Here is a 12522-nt window from a genome sequence, read left to right as displayed (position 1 = left end):
ATTAGTAGCCAGTTCCAATAATTTACATTCAAGTTGCAATTGAATTGAAATTAGCCAACGATGAATGAAATGGTTTCCAGATTTTATGCATTTTTGGATTATGGTTGACAGACCCCTCTTCTGGGGCCCTTGTGCAGGGTCCTCCCTTTGAGCCTGGTGCTCAGCGCACCCCCGACGTGGCTCCCATGCGGTTTGTGAGCACATCTCTGGCCACGTGCCGGAAGCCACAGCCACGGCAGATCACTGCCAATGCTCAGCCCTGCGCTTACCCTGCTGTGGGTTGAGCAACTGTCCGTGTCCCACACTCTGCAGAGCCCTGTGGGGAAGAAGAGAGGAGGGCAGAGGGAGATAGCAGCAGCTGCAGGTGGCCGGGCAGTTCCTCTCATCCTGTTCTTTCTACCTGGCTTCCCATATGAAGCATGGTGAGCCTTCGAGTATTCCTCACCTGGGCTGGCCCTGGCATCACTGTCACCTCCAGGCAAGCCTGTGACTCTCCACGTCCTTGTCCCTAACACAGGGTGACAGCACAGACTCTGCCGGGTGACGTGGAGATTGAGCAGAGGTGTGCAGCAGCCACGGGTCCCAGCAGGGAGCCCAGGGCAGGGTAGGAGCTGACAGGCCGGGCCACCCTTGCAGCCATGTCAGGAAGAGACTTTTTAGATGGATGGCTTGGGGTGATATCCACACGCGCCTCCCTCCATCCCTTCTCCGTCGCCCTGGCCTGGCCTGGCTGGAGGGCGGGCAGAGATGTGGGAGGCTTCAAAACCCAGGAGGTTTCTCAAGTTGTAAAAGCGTCCCAATGTATTTTCTCAAAGGGCATCATGAATGTGAGACCAGCAAATTGAGCTAGCAGCTAAAACAAACAAGCAAACAAACAAGCAACCTTTCACCCTCAAGCCCCAGCCAGAAAAAATGCAACAAAACACTTTGAGGCTGAGCTGAGAGGATTCCTGTTTTGTGTTTGTGCCCAGATCTGGCAGGCCTGGCAGCCACGGAGCCTCCTGAGTGGAGGGGAGAGCCTGGCAGCCGGGTGGGCGCGTTCACTCTCGTCCTGTCTCTTCTCAGCTCCATTTGCCTCCTTCTCAGCCTCCCCCTGTGGCCACCCATCAGTCCCTCCCTCCCTCCCGTCTTGCGTTCTCTCTCCAGGCAGCACGGAGCTCGTGGGAATCTCTGAGCCCAGTGGAAGGAGAGGCCGATTCTGTGAGGTCACCACGGCCTCCCCAGCACTCTGTGGCCTCTTCCCAACCACACGCGCAGAGCCTGGGACACTGGCCCTGTGCACGGTGTCTCCCCGGCTCCCTCGCCCTCTGACCTCCTGCAGCATGTGGCAATGAGGGCACCTGGAGGCTGGGGGCCATGGTGCGGGGGCCCCTTTTCCTCCAGCCCTCCCTTTCCTACATCCCTCCGGGCTCCTCCGGGCTATCCTGGGACAGCCTCATCCCTCACTTCTCCTGAACTCTTTCCACACTGCTGTGGGTTGAATTGTGTCCCTGACCCTGAAGTTCACACATTGAGGTCCTAACCCCCAATGTGGCTGGATTTGGAGCTAGGCCTTTGGGAGTGATTAGGTTACACGAGGTCATGAGGGTGGGGCTACCACAATAGGACTGGGGCTCTTTTCTTTCTCCCTCCCTGCCGGCTCTTCTCTCTCTCTCTCTCTCCCTCCCTCCCTCCCTCCCTCCTTTCCTCCCTTTCTCTGTTCCTCACCCTCCCTCTCTCCCCTTCTCTCTCTCTCTTCCTCTTTCTTTCTTGCCCCTCTCTCCCCTCCTTCCCTCTCCCCTTCTTTTTCTCCACTGTTTTCGGACACAGCCAGGAGGCCGTTGCCTGCATGCCAGGCCCAGAGCCCACCAGGCACGAAGTCTGCAGGAACTTGGATCTTGGACCTCCAGCCTCCAGGACTGTAAAAAAATAAATGTGTGTTGTTTACACCCCCAGTGTGTGGTGTTTTGTCAATAGCTTCTTATGTCAGCTGTCCTCAGTTAAGCCCTCCCGGGCCGCGTTTCCATGGGACAGTCCACGCTCCTCCCTGGCCCGGCCGCCAGAGTTCTGGAGAAGATGCTCTTGGAATCGGAACCGGGCACACACTGCCGGTCTGACAGGCAACATTCGGGAGCTGGTGCGGCTGCAGTGCACGAACACCCACACAGATGCATCCATGCCTGAACACACGTGTTCCGAGGTAGCGATGCAGGAGGGGCACACGTGTGTGTGACACGGAGGCTGCACACAGCAGTTTCTCAGTGTGGGTTTCTTGAATATTCACTGAATGAGTGAATGAGTGAATGAGAAAGCAAATCATAGATACAAGGTCATTATTGAGTCAAGGCCTCATCAACTTGAAATTTTTTCCAGTTTCTAGATTTTTTGTTCTTATCTCTTCTACAAATTTTTAAAAAACAAGTCCAAGTCTTTTATTGCTCAGTTTTTGAAAAACTAAAAGCCTTTTCCTATGTCCACCCGGCTCCCAGGCCCAGGCTGTCCCTCCTTCTCAGGTGTCTCTTAGCTTCCGAGGAATTAAGAGCATTTCCAGCCCATCCTGCAGGCCAAGCCCCAGCCCAGCCATCCTGTGGCACCAAACAGTCCCGACAGTGGCCACACGTCCCTGGGCGCTCTGTGCCCCTGCTTTGCCTCCTCCTCGGTCCACCAGCACTCATTTCTGTTTATTACCAAATAATACTCTATTGTCTGGATGGACCAGGTTTTGTTTCTCTGTTCCTGAGTTGATGGGCATTTGGGTTGTTGGCACCTTATGGCTATGATAGGCGACACTGCCACAGGCATCTGCATGCAAGGTTTTGTGTGGTCTACATTCTCATTTCTCGTGGTTCTATATTTGCAAGTTGAATTTCTGGGTCATATAGTTATTCTACATTTAGCTTTTGAGGAACTGCCAGACTGTTAGTATAGGGTTTTAAGCAGAGTATAATGTGACCCAATTTACAGCTTTGCTTCGTTTTTCAAAAAACAGCCACTATGGGTTCTGAGTCAGAAGTCTGGATGTGGAATGGCGGGGGGTGGTTTGCCCCTGCTCAGCTGCATCTGGGAACATCCCTGTCATGGAGGGCCCGGGGCTGCCTGCACCCTGCAGTGACTCACATGCAGGCTTCGTGGGCCGTTGACTGTGGGTGGCTCCCCGTGAGGCCAAGGAGGCTGCGCTTCTGACGGGTGGCTCTGGGCTCCAAGAGTGAGTGTTCTCTGATTTGTGTTTGCATGGTTGTGCTGCAGGTGGAGCGCAGGGTAGGCGGGAAGGCACGTGGGAAGGCTGCTGGCCTGGCAGCATGGCACAGGCGTGGCGGGGCTGGGACCACTCCTGAAGCCAGAGCTTGCAAGACTGCTCAGGGATTCTGTGTGGAATGTGAGGCGAAGAAAAATTCTGGGCTCATCTTGGGTTTGGACACCAGCAAGTGGTATGTCTTGGCATTTTCTGTTAACTGAGGTGGGAATGGCCAAGGACCCAGAATTAGACAGAGAATTGAGGTAGGCAAGGAACTAGAAGAAGAGAAAATTAAATTCACAATATGCAGAGTAAAGGAAATGATAAAACCAAGAGTAGAAATCCATAAAACGGAAGACACAAAAGGAGAAAACCAACAAAACCAAAAACTAGTTATTTGAAAGATTTGTAAACCTTGTTAACCTCTAGTCAGACTAACCAGGGACCAAAAAAGAAGACAAAATGCCAGGAAAGACAAAGGTAACATTGTTACAGATCCCACACATATGAAAAGGGTAATCCAGGAATACATGAACACCTTCCTATCAGACAGGGGAGGCTGCAGATTTCAAAGCAAAATCTATGGCCTGGGAGAAACGTGTCCATCAATCATGCCAATAAGTTAAACAACTTAGTTGAAATGGACAAATTCTTTGAAAGACACAAAGTACCAAAACTTACATGCTAAAAGAAAGAAAAAAAGAAAAACGTATTAAGGAAGTAAAATCGTAGGTAACATGAATAGCCCTATATCTATTAAGGGAATTAAAATTTTAATTAAAAACCTCCCACAGATAAAATTCCAGGCCAAAGGGCTTCACTGGTGAATTCTTCCAAATATCCAAAGAGAAATAATACAAACTTTATACAAAGTCTTCTGGAAAATTGAAGAGGAAGAAATACTTTCCACCTCATTCTATGAGGGCAGCATGACTATGACATAAAAACTAGACAAGGACATTGAAAGAAAATAAAACTTCACAAACACAGATGAAAATTTTAAACAAAATTTTATAAAATCACATCCAACAGTTTGTAAAAGTGATAATACACCATTAAGTGAGGTTTATCTCAGCAATGCAAAGGTAATTTAGTCAAGAGTAATCAGTATAATTTACCATATTAAAAAATTAAGAAAAAATAACCACATGATCATCTCAATGGATGTAGACAAAGCACATGATAAAATCCAACATCTATTTAATTAAAATATTCAGCAAATTGATGAAGGGTATCTGTGAAAAACCAACAACTGACATAATTAATGGTGAAAGATTGGATGTCTTCCCCCGAAGACTGGAATAAAGCAAGGGTCTCTGCTTTCCTACTTCTCTTGATCACATGGGATGCTCTCCTACTTCTATTTGTGATCACATGGGAGGCTTTCCTACTTCTACTCGTGATCACATGGGAGGCTCTCCTACTTCTACTCGTGATCGCATGGGATGCTCTCCTACTTCTACTCATGATTGCATGGGATGCTCTCCTACTTCTACTCGTGATCGCGTGGGATGCTTTCTTACTTCTACTCGTGATCACGTGGGATGCTTTCCAACTTGTACTCGTGATCATGTGGGATGCTTTCCTACTCCTACTCGTGATCACATGGGATGCTCTCCTACTTCTACTCGTGATCACATGGGAGGCTCTGGCCAATGCAAGAAGGAAAAAAAAATAGGAAAGAAAGAAAAGCCATCCAAATTGGGAAGAAGGAGAAGGTAAAACTGTTTTTATTCACAAGAGACGTTATTGTCTATGTAGAGAACATGATGGAATCTACAAAGAGCCACTAGAATCACTGAATGAGTTTGTCAACTTTGCAGGATAAAGGAACAATATCTAAATATCAGTTGTATTTCTATAGTTGCAACAAATGGTTAGAAATTTAAATTAAAGGCACAATACCACTTATATAAAAATGTAGCATAAATACCATTTACATAAAAATTTAGCATAAAAATGCAAACTACTTAATCACTCTGAGAAACGATGAGAAAGACTGAAACTTACAAAACATCACAGAGAGAAATTAAAGATCGCCTAAAGAAATGGAGAAATACATTGTGTCCATGAGTTAGAAGACAGAATTCTTTCAAACTGACTTATAGATTCAACCAAATCCAAGTAGACTTTTTTTTTTTTGTAGAAATTGACAATTGAGTTCTAGAATTCACATGGAAATGCAAAGGACCTAGAATAATCAAAACAACTTTGAAAAAGAAGAAAAAAGTTAGAGGACTCGACCCATTTTAAGACCTACCATTAAGTTACAGTAATCAAGAGAGAGTGACCGACAAATAAGTCATTAGAATATAATTAAGAGTTCAGAAATAAACGCATACACTTAAGGTCAATTGATTTTGACATGAAGTCCTTGCCCATGCCTATGTCCTGAACGGTATTGCCTAGGTTTTCTTCTAGGGTTTTTATGGTTTTAGGTCTGACATGTAAGTCTTTAATCCCTCGTGAATTGATTTTTGTATAAGGTGTAAGGAAGGGATCCAGTTTCAGCTTTCTACATATGGCTAGCCAGTTTTCCCAGCACCACTTATTAAATAGGGGATCCTTTCCCCATTTCTTCTTTTTCTCAGGTTCGTCAAAGATCAGATGGTTGTAGATATGCGGCATTATTTCTGAGGGCTCTGTACTGTTCCATTGGTCTATATCTCTGTTTTGGTACCAGTACCATGCTGTTTTGGTTACTGTAGCCTTGTAGTATAGTTTGAAGTCAGGTAGCGTGATGCCTCCAGCCTTGTTCTTTTGGCTTAGGATTGTCTTGGCAATGTAGGCTCTTTTTTGGTTCCATATGAATTTTAAAGTAGTTTTTTCCAATTCTGTGAAGAAAGTCATTTGTAGCTTGATGGGGATGGCACTGAATCTATAAATTACCTTGGGCAGTATGGCCATTTTCATGATATTGATTCTTCCTACCCATGAGCATGGAATGTTCTTCCATTTCTTTGTATCCTCTTTTATTTCATTGAGCAGTGGTTTGTAGTCCTCCTTGAAGAGGTCCTTTACATCCTTTGTAAGTTGGATTCCTAAGTATTTTATTCTCTTTGAAGCAATTGTGAATGGGAGTTCACTCATGATTTGGCTCTCTGTTTGTCTGTTATTGGTGTATAAGAATGCTTGTGATTTTTGCACATTGATTTTGTATCCTGAGACTTTGCTGAAGTTGCTTATCAGCTTAAGGAGATTTTGGGCTGAGATGATGGGGTTTTCTAGATATACAATCATGTCATCTGCAAACAGGGACAATTTGACTTCCTCTTTTCCTAATTGAATGCCCTTTATTCCCTTCTCCTGCCTGATTGCCCTGGCCAGATCTTCCAACACTATGTTGAATAGGAGTGGTGAGAGTTTTGACAAAGCTGCAAAGGCATTTGAATAGAGAAAGGACAGCAAATGGTTCTGAAAAAAATTGAGTATCCAAAAAATGTACATCAATCCAATACCTTGCACTATGTACATACATGAACTCAAAATGGATCAGAGACCTAAGTGTAAAACCTAAAACTGCAAAACTTTTACAAGAAACCACAAGAGAACTAGTTATTTGAAAGATTAGTAAACCTTGTTAACCTCTAGTCAGACTAACCAGGGACCAAAAAAAGAAGACAAAATGCCAGGAAAGACAAAGATAACATTGTTACAGATTCTACACATATGAAAAGGATAATCCAGGAATACATGAACACCTTCCTATCAGACAGTGGAGACTGTCTCTTTTTGTGACCTTGATTAAGCAAAGATTTCTTGGGTACAACACCAAAAGCGTAATTCATAAATTAAAAAATATGACAAATTGGAGTTCATCAAATTAAGAATTTCTGCTCTGTGAAATATGCCATTAAGAAAATGAGAAGGTAAGCTACAGTTTGAGAGAAAACATCTTCAAATCACACATTTTATAAAAGTTTTATATACAGAATATATGTGGAATATGCAACTCTTAAAACTCAGTGATGAGAAAAGAAGAAACCCAACGAAAGCAAGCAAAATATTTGAACAGACTCTGTCTAAAGAAGAGAAACAAATATCAAGCACACAAAAAGTTGCTCAGGAATCATTAGTCGTTATGCAAATGCAAATTGGAACCACAGTGAGAAACCACTACAGGCCTGTTAGAATAGCTAAAATTAGGGACTGACCACATCAAGTGCTGGCTGGGATGTGGAGGAACTGGAACTCTCATGTGCCACTAGTGAGAAAGTGAAATGACACACTTTGGAAAACATTGTGTCAGTGCCTCAAAAAGTTAAACATCAACCTACTATATGATCCAGCCATTCCGCTCCCAAGAAGTTACCCAAGAGAGGTTGAAGTCTATGTCTACAAAAGATCTATACATGAGTGATTATAGCAGCTTCCTTGGTAACAGCTAAAAGCTTGAGACAACTCACATGTTCATCAATAGGTGAATTGATAAACAGTGGTATATCCACACAATGGAATACAACTCAGTAAAAAAAAGAATCAGTGACTGATGCACGTGACAACATTGATGAATTGTAGCCAAATAAAAACAGAGCACCCACTGTATGACCCAGTTATATGAAATTCCATGGACTGTGAACTAATACACAGCCACAGAAAGTAGATTAGTGGTTGCCTGGGGATGGAGTGTGTGGGAAAAAGAGCGGGGAGGAGATATTAAAGGGGAAAAGTTGTGGGTAATTGATTTGTTCAAATTCCTGATTGTGGTGATAGATTCATAGGTATGTATATATATTAAAACTCATTGAATTTTATACTCTAAATATGTGTGGTTTATTGTATGTTACTTAATAAAAATCAGCTCAATAAAGCTGCTTTTTAAAGTGAATATCATAAAATTGAGGCTCAGGGAGTTTGAGCCAGTTGTGGAAAGTCACACAGCAAGCACGCAGTAGACCCAGATTGAATCTTAAAGATGAAGGACTGAGACCAGGGTGACCAGACTCCGCAGACGCCTCACTCCACGCCACCCTGCTGCAGCCCTAAGCTGCTAAACACCCAACAAAACCCTGCAAAACTGCAGAAAACAGTATTCAGATTTGCCACAGGTCTCATTAGGAGCCTCATCTCTCTCTGGTGTCCACCATGGGCCACTCTGCAGAGGGAAATCTCCCAGACAAGTAGCCCCACATGAGGCAGAACCATGGCCACAGCTGGGGGCTCCTCCATGGGCGAAAAGAGGCTGTGAAATTGGAAGCAGTTCTCAGGTGTCTCCAGTATGAACATCCCAAGGCTGTGGTAAGGAGGGACCACAAACCAGGGGCTCACACCGCGCAAGTGTGCTCTCCTGCCATCCTGGAGCCAGAGGTCCAAGACCAAGGTGCCAGCAGGGTTGGGCTCTGTGCGTCTCCCTGTTCTGGTGTGGCTGGCGATCCTCCATGGTTCCTGGCTGTGGCCTCTCACTTGCTCTCAGCCTCTGTCTCCCTGAACGCCTGTGTCTCCTCCTCCTCTTAGAAGGACACCATCTTACTGGACGAAGGGCCTGCCTATTCCAGGAAGACCTCATCTTAACCAGTGGCACCTGCAATGGCTTGTTTCCAAGTAAGATCCCATTCAGAGGTTTGAGAAGGATGTGGACTTTGTGGGGATGCTGCCCAATCTGGCACTGAGGCTCCAGGTGGAGCAGGGGTGCTCCTGACCTTCCTCGAGGCCACTGGGCCTTTGCAGTGCCCTCCCGGTGGAGCAGGGGTGCTCCTGACCTTCCTCGAGGCCACTGGGCCTTTGCAGTGCCCTCCCGGCCTCGTCTGACCTGAATGTCCAGGGCAGGGCCAGGCTCAAGCGGCCACTCTTAGGATGTCTGATGCTGAGGGGAACCCCCAGCAGCCCACACATGCGACATGGGATTTTTGTAGCCAGTGGGCAGACAAGACAGGAGAGGACACGATTCAAGCAGGTTGGCCTCTCGATGAGGTCTCAGGCTCACTAGGGAGCCCCTGTCCCATCTGCAGAGACAGACCAGCAGAACAAAGGCAGAGCCACATAGTGTGGTCACTCAGAAGCAGCGTCTGAAGCCGTGGCCGCAGGGTGGCCTTTGCCACAGTGGCCAGGGAGAGGTTGCTGGCCACGCAGGAGGTGTGGCTCATGCCAAGTGCTGCAAGGCTGTTGCTCTCTGTGCTCCCAAATCATATTCCCAGCACTGTTCCTAGGCCCCAGCTTTGACAATGCTTCTCTTTATTTGCAGTGGGGTTAGGTGGTGAAGCATGAAATTTTTCCTCTGGGAAGAATAAATGCTTCTGTGCTGGCGAAGAGCTTTGGGCCCATAGAAAAATGTGTGAGCTGAGCACCACCAGCCTCTGGTGTCTCTCCACTGACAAGCTTCTGCTACGCTGTTGAGGAAAACAACGTCAGAAACAAGACTTCTCCACTTCCACACCGTCCTCCACCCAGACACAAATCACATCGGCATGAGGGATGCCTCCAGCTGAGATGAGCTTCTGGACATTCCGGAGTGCACAGACCACGTGAGCCGGCTTCAGGAGGTGGACCTTCCCAGCGCAGGCTGTGGTACCAGCATTCATGAAGCCATCCCAGGGCTGTCCTGAAGGAGGCTCAAAGCCGCCCGTGTAAGTGCAGGGTGCAGCTGGAGTTTTGTCTGAGCCTCCCACCAGCCTGCGGCCCACCCTCTGCTGGCAGAGTACCCAAGCACCGCAACGCAGTCTCAGCTCTCCCAGCTGCAGGCGTAGGTCACGCGGCCGGCAGGAAAGGCAGCTCCCTCAGAATAGCCAAGCCGTGCACACATGGAGGGGCTGCACCAGAGCACTGAGAAAATCTCGTTTGCATGCAAAGCAGGGGGTTTAAGATCAGATGAGCCTCGTCGTACAATGTCCCAAACAAACAGGCACAGGGCACATGTGAGGGTGCAGCTTGTCAGCCTCATCCTTTCGTGGGGGGTTAAGTCACTCGTCAAAGGGCACATAGACACCTGGTGACTGAGCTCACAGGAAGACCAGGCCCTGGCCATTCGGAAGTGCCCTGAAGCAGGAATTGCGAGGATGGTGAGCAGGGGGCTCAGGAGGAGGGGCTGCCGCACTAAGAACACTCCCTTGCCCTGCAGGTCCAGGATGCTGACGCTCTGCAGGGTGTGGGAGTGGATACAGACTAGCCCCCGGGAGGGAGCTGTGAGGAGAAGAGAGGTCACCAGAAAAGTGCGGAGGGTGCAGGCCCCACGGAGTGCAAGAATCTGCTGTAGCCTGGTAGGATCCTGTGTGAGGAACACCCAGAGCAGAGAAACTCTGGGGAGGCAGGAGCTGATGCCAGCGAGTGAGGCTTGGAAGTGGGCAGTGGGGATGGGGGTGGATGGAGGAATGGAGGGTGAAGGTATAGATGACAGAAGGGTAGGAATGAGGATGGCTATAGGGTTGGAGATGGAGGCATGGGATGGTGGTAGTGATGGGGATGAATGGAGGGATGGGGGTGGATGGAGGGATGGGGGTGGATGGAGGGATGGGGGTGGATTGAGGAATGGGGTGGACAGAGGGATGGGATGGATGGAGGGATGAATAGATGGAAGGATAGGGTGGATGGAGGGATGGGGATGGATGGACGAATGGGACGGATGGAGGGATGGGGATGGATGGAGGAATGGGGTGGATGGAGGGTTGGGGTGGATGGAGGGATGGGGATGGATGGAGTAATGGGGTGGATGGAGGGAAGGGATGGAGGGATGGGATGGGATGGATGGAGGGATGAATGGATGGAGGGATAGGGTGGATGGAGGGATAGGGATGGATGGAGGAATGGGGTGGATGGAGGGATGGGGATGGATGGACGAATGGGACGGATGGAGGGATGGGGATGGATGGACGAATGGGACGGATGGAGGGATGGGGATGGATGGAGGAATGGGGTGGATGGAGGGTTGGGGTGGATGGAGGGATGGGATGGGATGGATGGAGGGATAGGGATAGGGTGGATGGAGGGATAGGGATGGATGGAGGAATGGGGTGGATGGAGGGATGGGGTGGATGGAGGGATGGGGATGGATGGAATGAGGTGGATGGAGGGATGGGATGCATGGAGGGATGGGGGTGGATGGAGGGATGCGGTGGATGGAGGGATGGGGTGGATGGGGGTATGGGATGGATGGGGGTATGGGGGTGGATGGAGGGATGGAGGTGGTTGGGGGATGGGGTGGATGGGGGATCAATGGATGGAGGGATAGGGTGGATGGAGGGATGGGGATGGATGGCGGAATGGGGTGGATGGAGAGATGGTATGGATGGAGGAATGGGGTGGATGGAGGGATGGGGTGGATGGAGGGATGGGGTGGATGGAGGAATGGGGTGGATGGAAGGATGGGGTGGATGGAGGGATGGGATGGATGGAGGAATGAATGCATGGAGGGATAGGGTGGATGGAGGGATGGGGATAGATAGAGGAATGGGGTGGATAGAGGGATGGGGTGGATGGAGGGATGGGGTGGATGGAGGGATGGGGTGGATGGAAGGATGGGGTGGATGGAGGGATGGGGTGGACGGAGGGATGGGATGGATGGGGGGATGGGGTGGATGGAGGGATGGGGTGGATGGAGGGATGGGGTGGACGGAGGGATGGGGTGGATGGAAGGATGGGGTGGATGGAGGGATGGGGTGGACGGAGGGATGGGGTGGATGGAGGGATGGGGTGGATGGAGGGATGGGATGGATGGGGGAATGGCGTGGATGGAGGGATGGGGTGGATGGAGGGATGGGGTGGATGGAGGGATGGCGTGGATGGAGGGATGGGGTGGATGGAGGGATGGGATGGATGGGGGAATGGCGTGGATGGAGGGATGGGGTGGATGGAGGGATGGGGTGGATGGAAGGATGGGGTGGATGGAGGGATGGGGTGGATGGAGGGATGGGATGGATGGGGGAATGGCGTGGATGGAGGGATGGGGTGGATGGAGGGATGGGATGGATGGAGGGATGGGGTGGATGGAGGGATGGGGTGGATGGAGGGATGGTATGGATGGAGGAATGGGGTGGATGGAGGGATGGGGTGGATGGAGGGATGGGGTGGATGGAGGAATGGGGTGGATGGAAGGATGGGGTGGATGGAGGGATGGGGTGGATGGAGGGATGGGGTGGATGGAGGGATGGGGTGGATGGAGGGATGGTATGGATGGAGGAATGGGGTGGATGGAGGGATGGGGTGGATGGAGGGATGGGGTGGATGGAGGAATGGGGTGGATGGAAGGATGGGGTGGATGGAGGGATGGGGTGGATGGAGGGATGGGATGGATGGGGGAATGGCGTGGATGGAGGGATGGGGTGGATGGAGGGATGGATGTGATGAGTGTAGGCACCAGGAGGGTGGTAGGACTTGGG

At 49.3% G+C, this 12522-nt stretch overlaps 3 annotated features.

Moving 5' to 3' along the window:
* Positions 227-726: an enhancer, noted in NCBI's record as "H3K4me1 hESC enhancer chr6:170391695-170392194 (GRCh37/hg19 assembly coordinates)". NCBI's record gives its function as "activates a minimal SCP1, AML or CMV promoter by ChIP-STARR-seq in primed H9 embryonic stem cells {active_cell/tissue: H9 hESC(primed)}" and the evidence as "EXISTENCE:reporter gene assay evidence [ECO:0000049][PMID:30033119]".
* Positions 2611-3162: an enhancer, noted in NCBI's record as "H3K4me1 hESC enhancer chr6:170389259-170389810 (GRCh37/hg19 assembly coordinates)". NCBI's record gives its function as "activates a minimal SCP1, AML or CMV promoter by ChIP-STARR-seq in naive H9 embryonic stem cells {active_cell/tissue: H9 hESC(naive)}" and the evidence as "EXISTENCE:reporter gene assay evidence [ECO:0000049][PMID:30033119]".
* Positions 3163-3714: an enhancer, noted in NCBI's record as "H3K4me1 hESC enhancer chr6:170388707-170389258 (GRCh37/hg19 assembly coordinates)". NCBI's record gives its function as "activates a minimal SCP1, AML or CMV promoter by ChIP-STARR-seq in naive H9 embryonic stem cells {active_cell/tissue: H9 hESC(naive)}" and the evidence as "EXISTENCE:reporter gene assay evidence [ECO:0000049][PMID:30033119]".

Source organism: Homo sapiens, chromosome 6, assembly GCF_000001405.40.
Source record: "Homo sapiens chromosome 6, GRCh38.p14 Primary Assembly".
In the NCBI taxonomy this organism is placed as follows: Eukaryota; Metazoa; Chordata; class Mammalia; order Primates; family Hominidae; genus Homo; species Homo sapiens.
The sequence above is the reverse complement of the archived record's forward strand: the minus strand, read 5'-3'. Positions and strand labels throughout refer to the sequence as shown.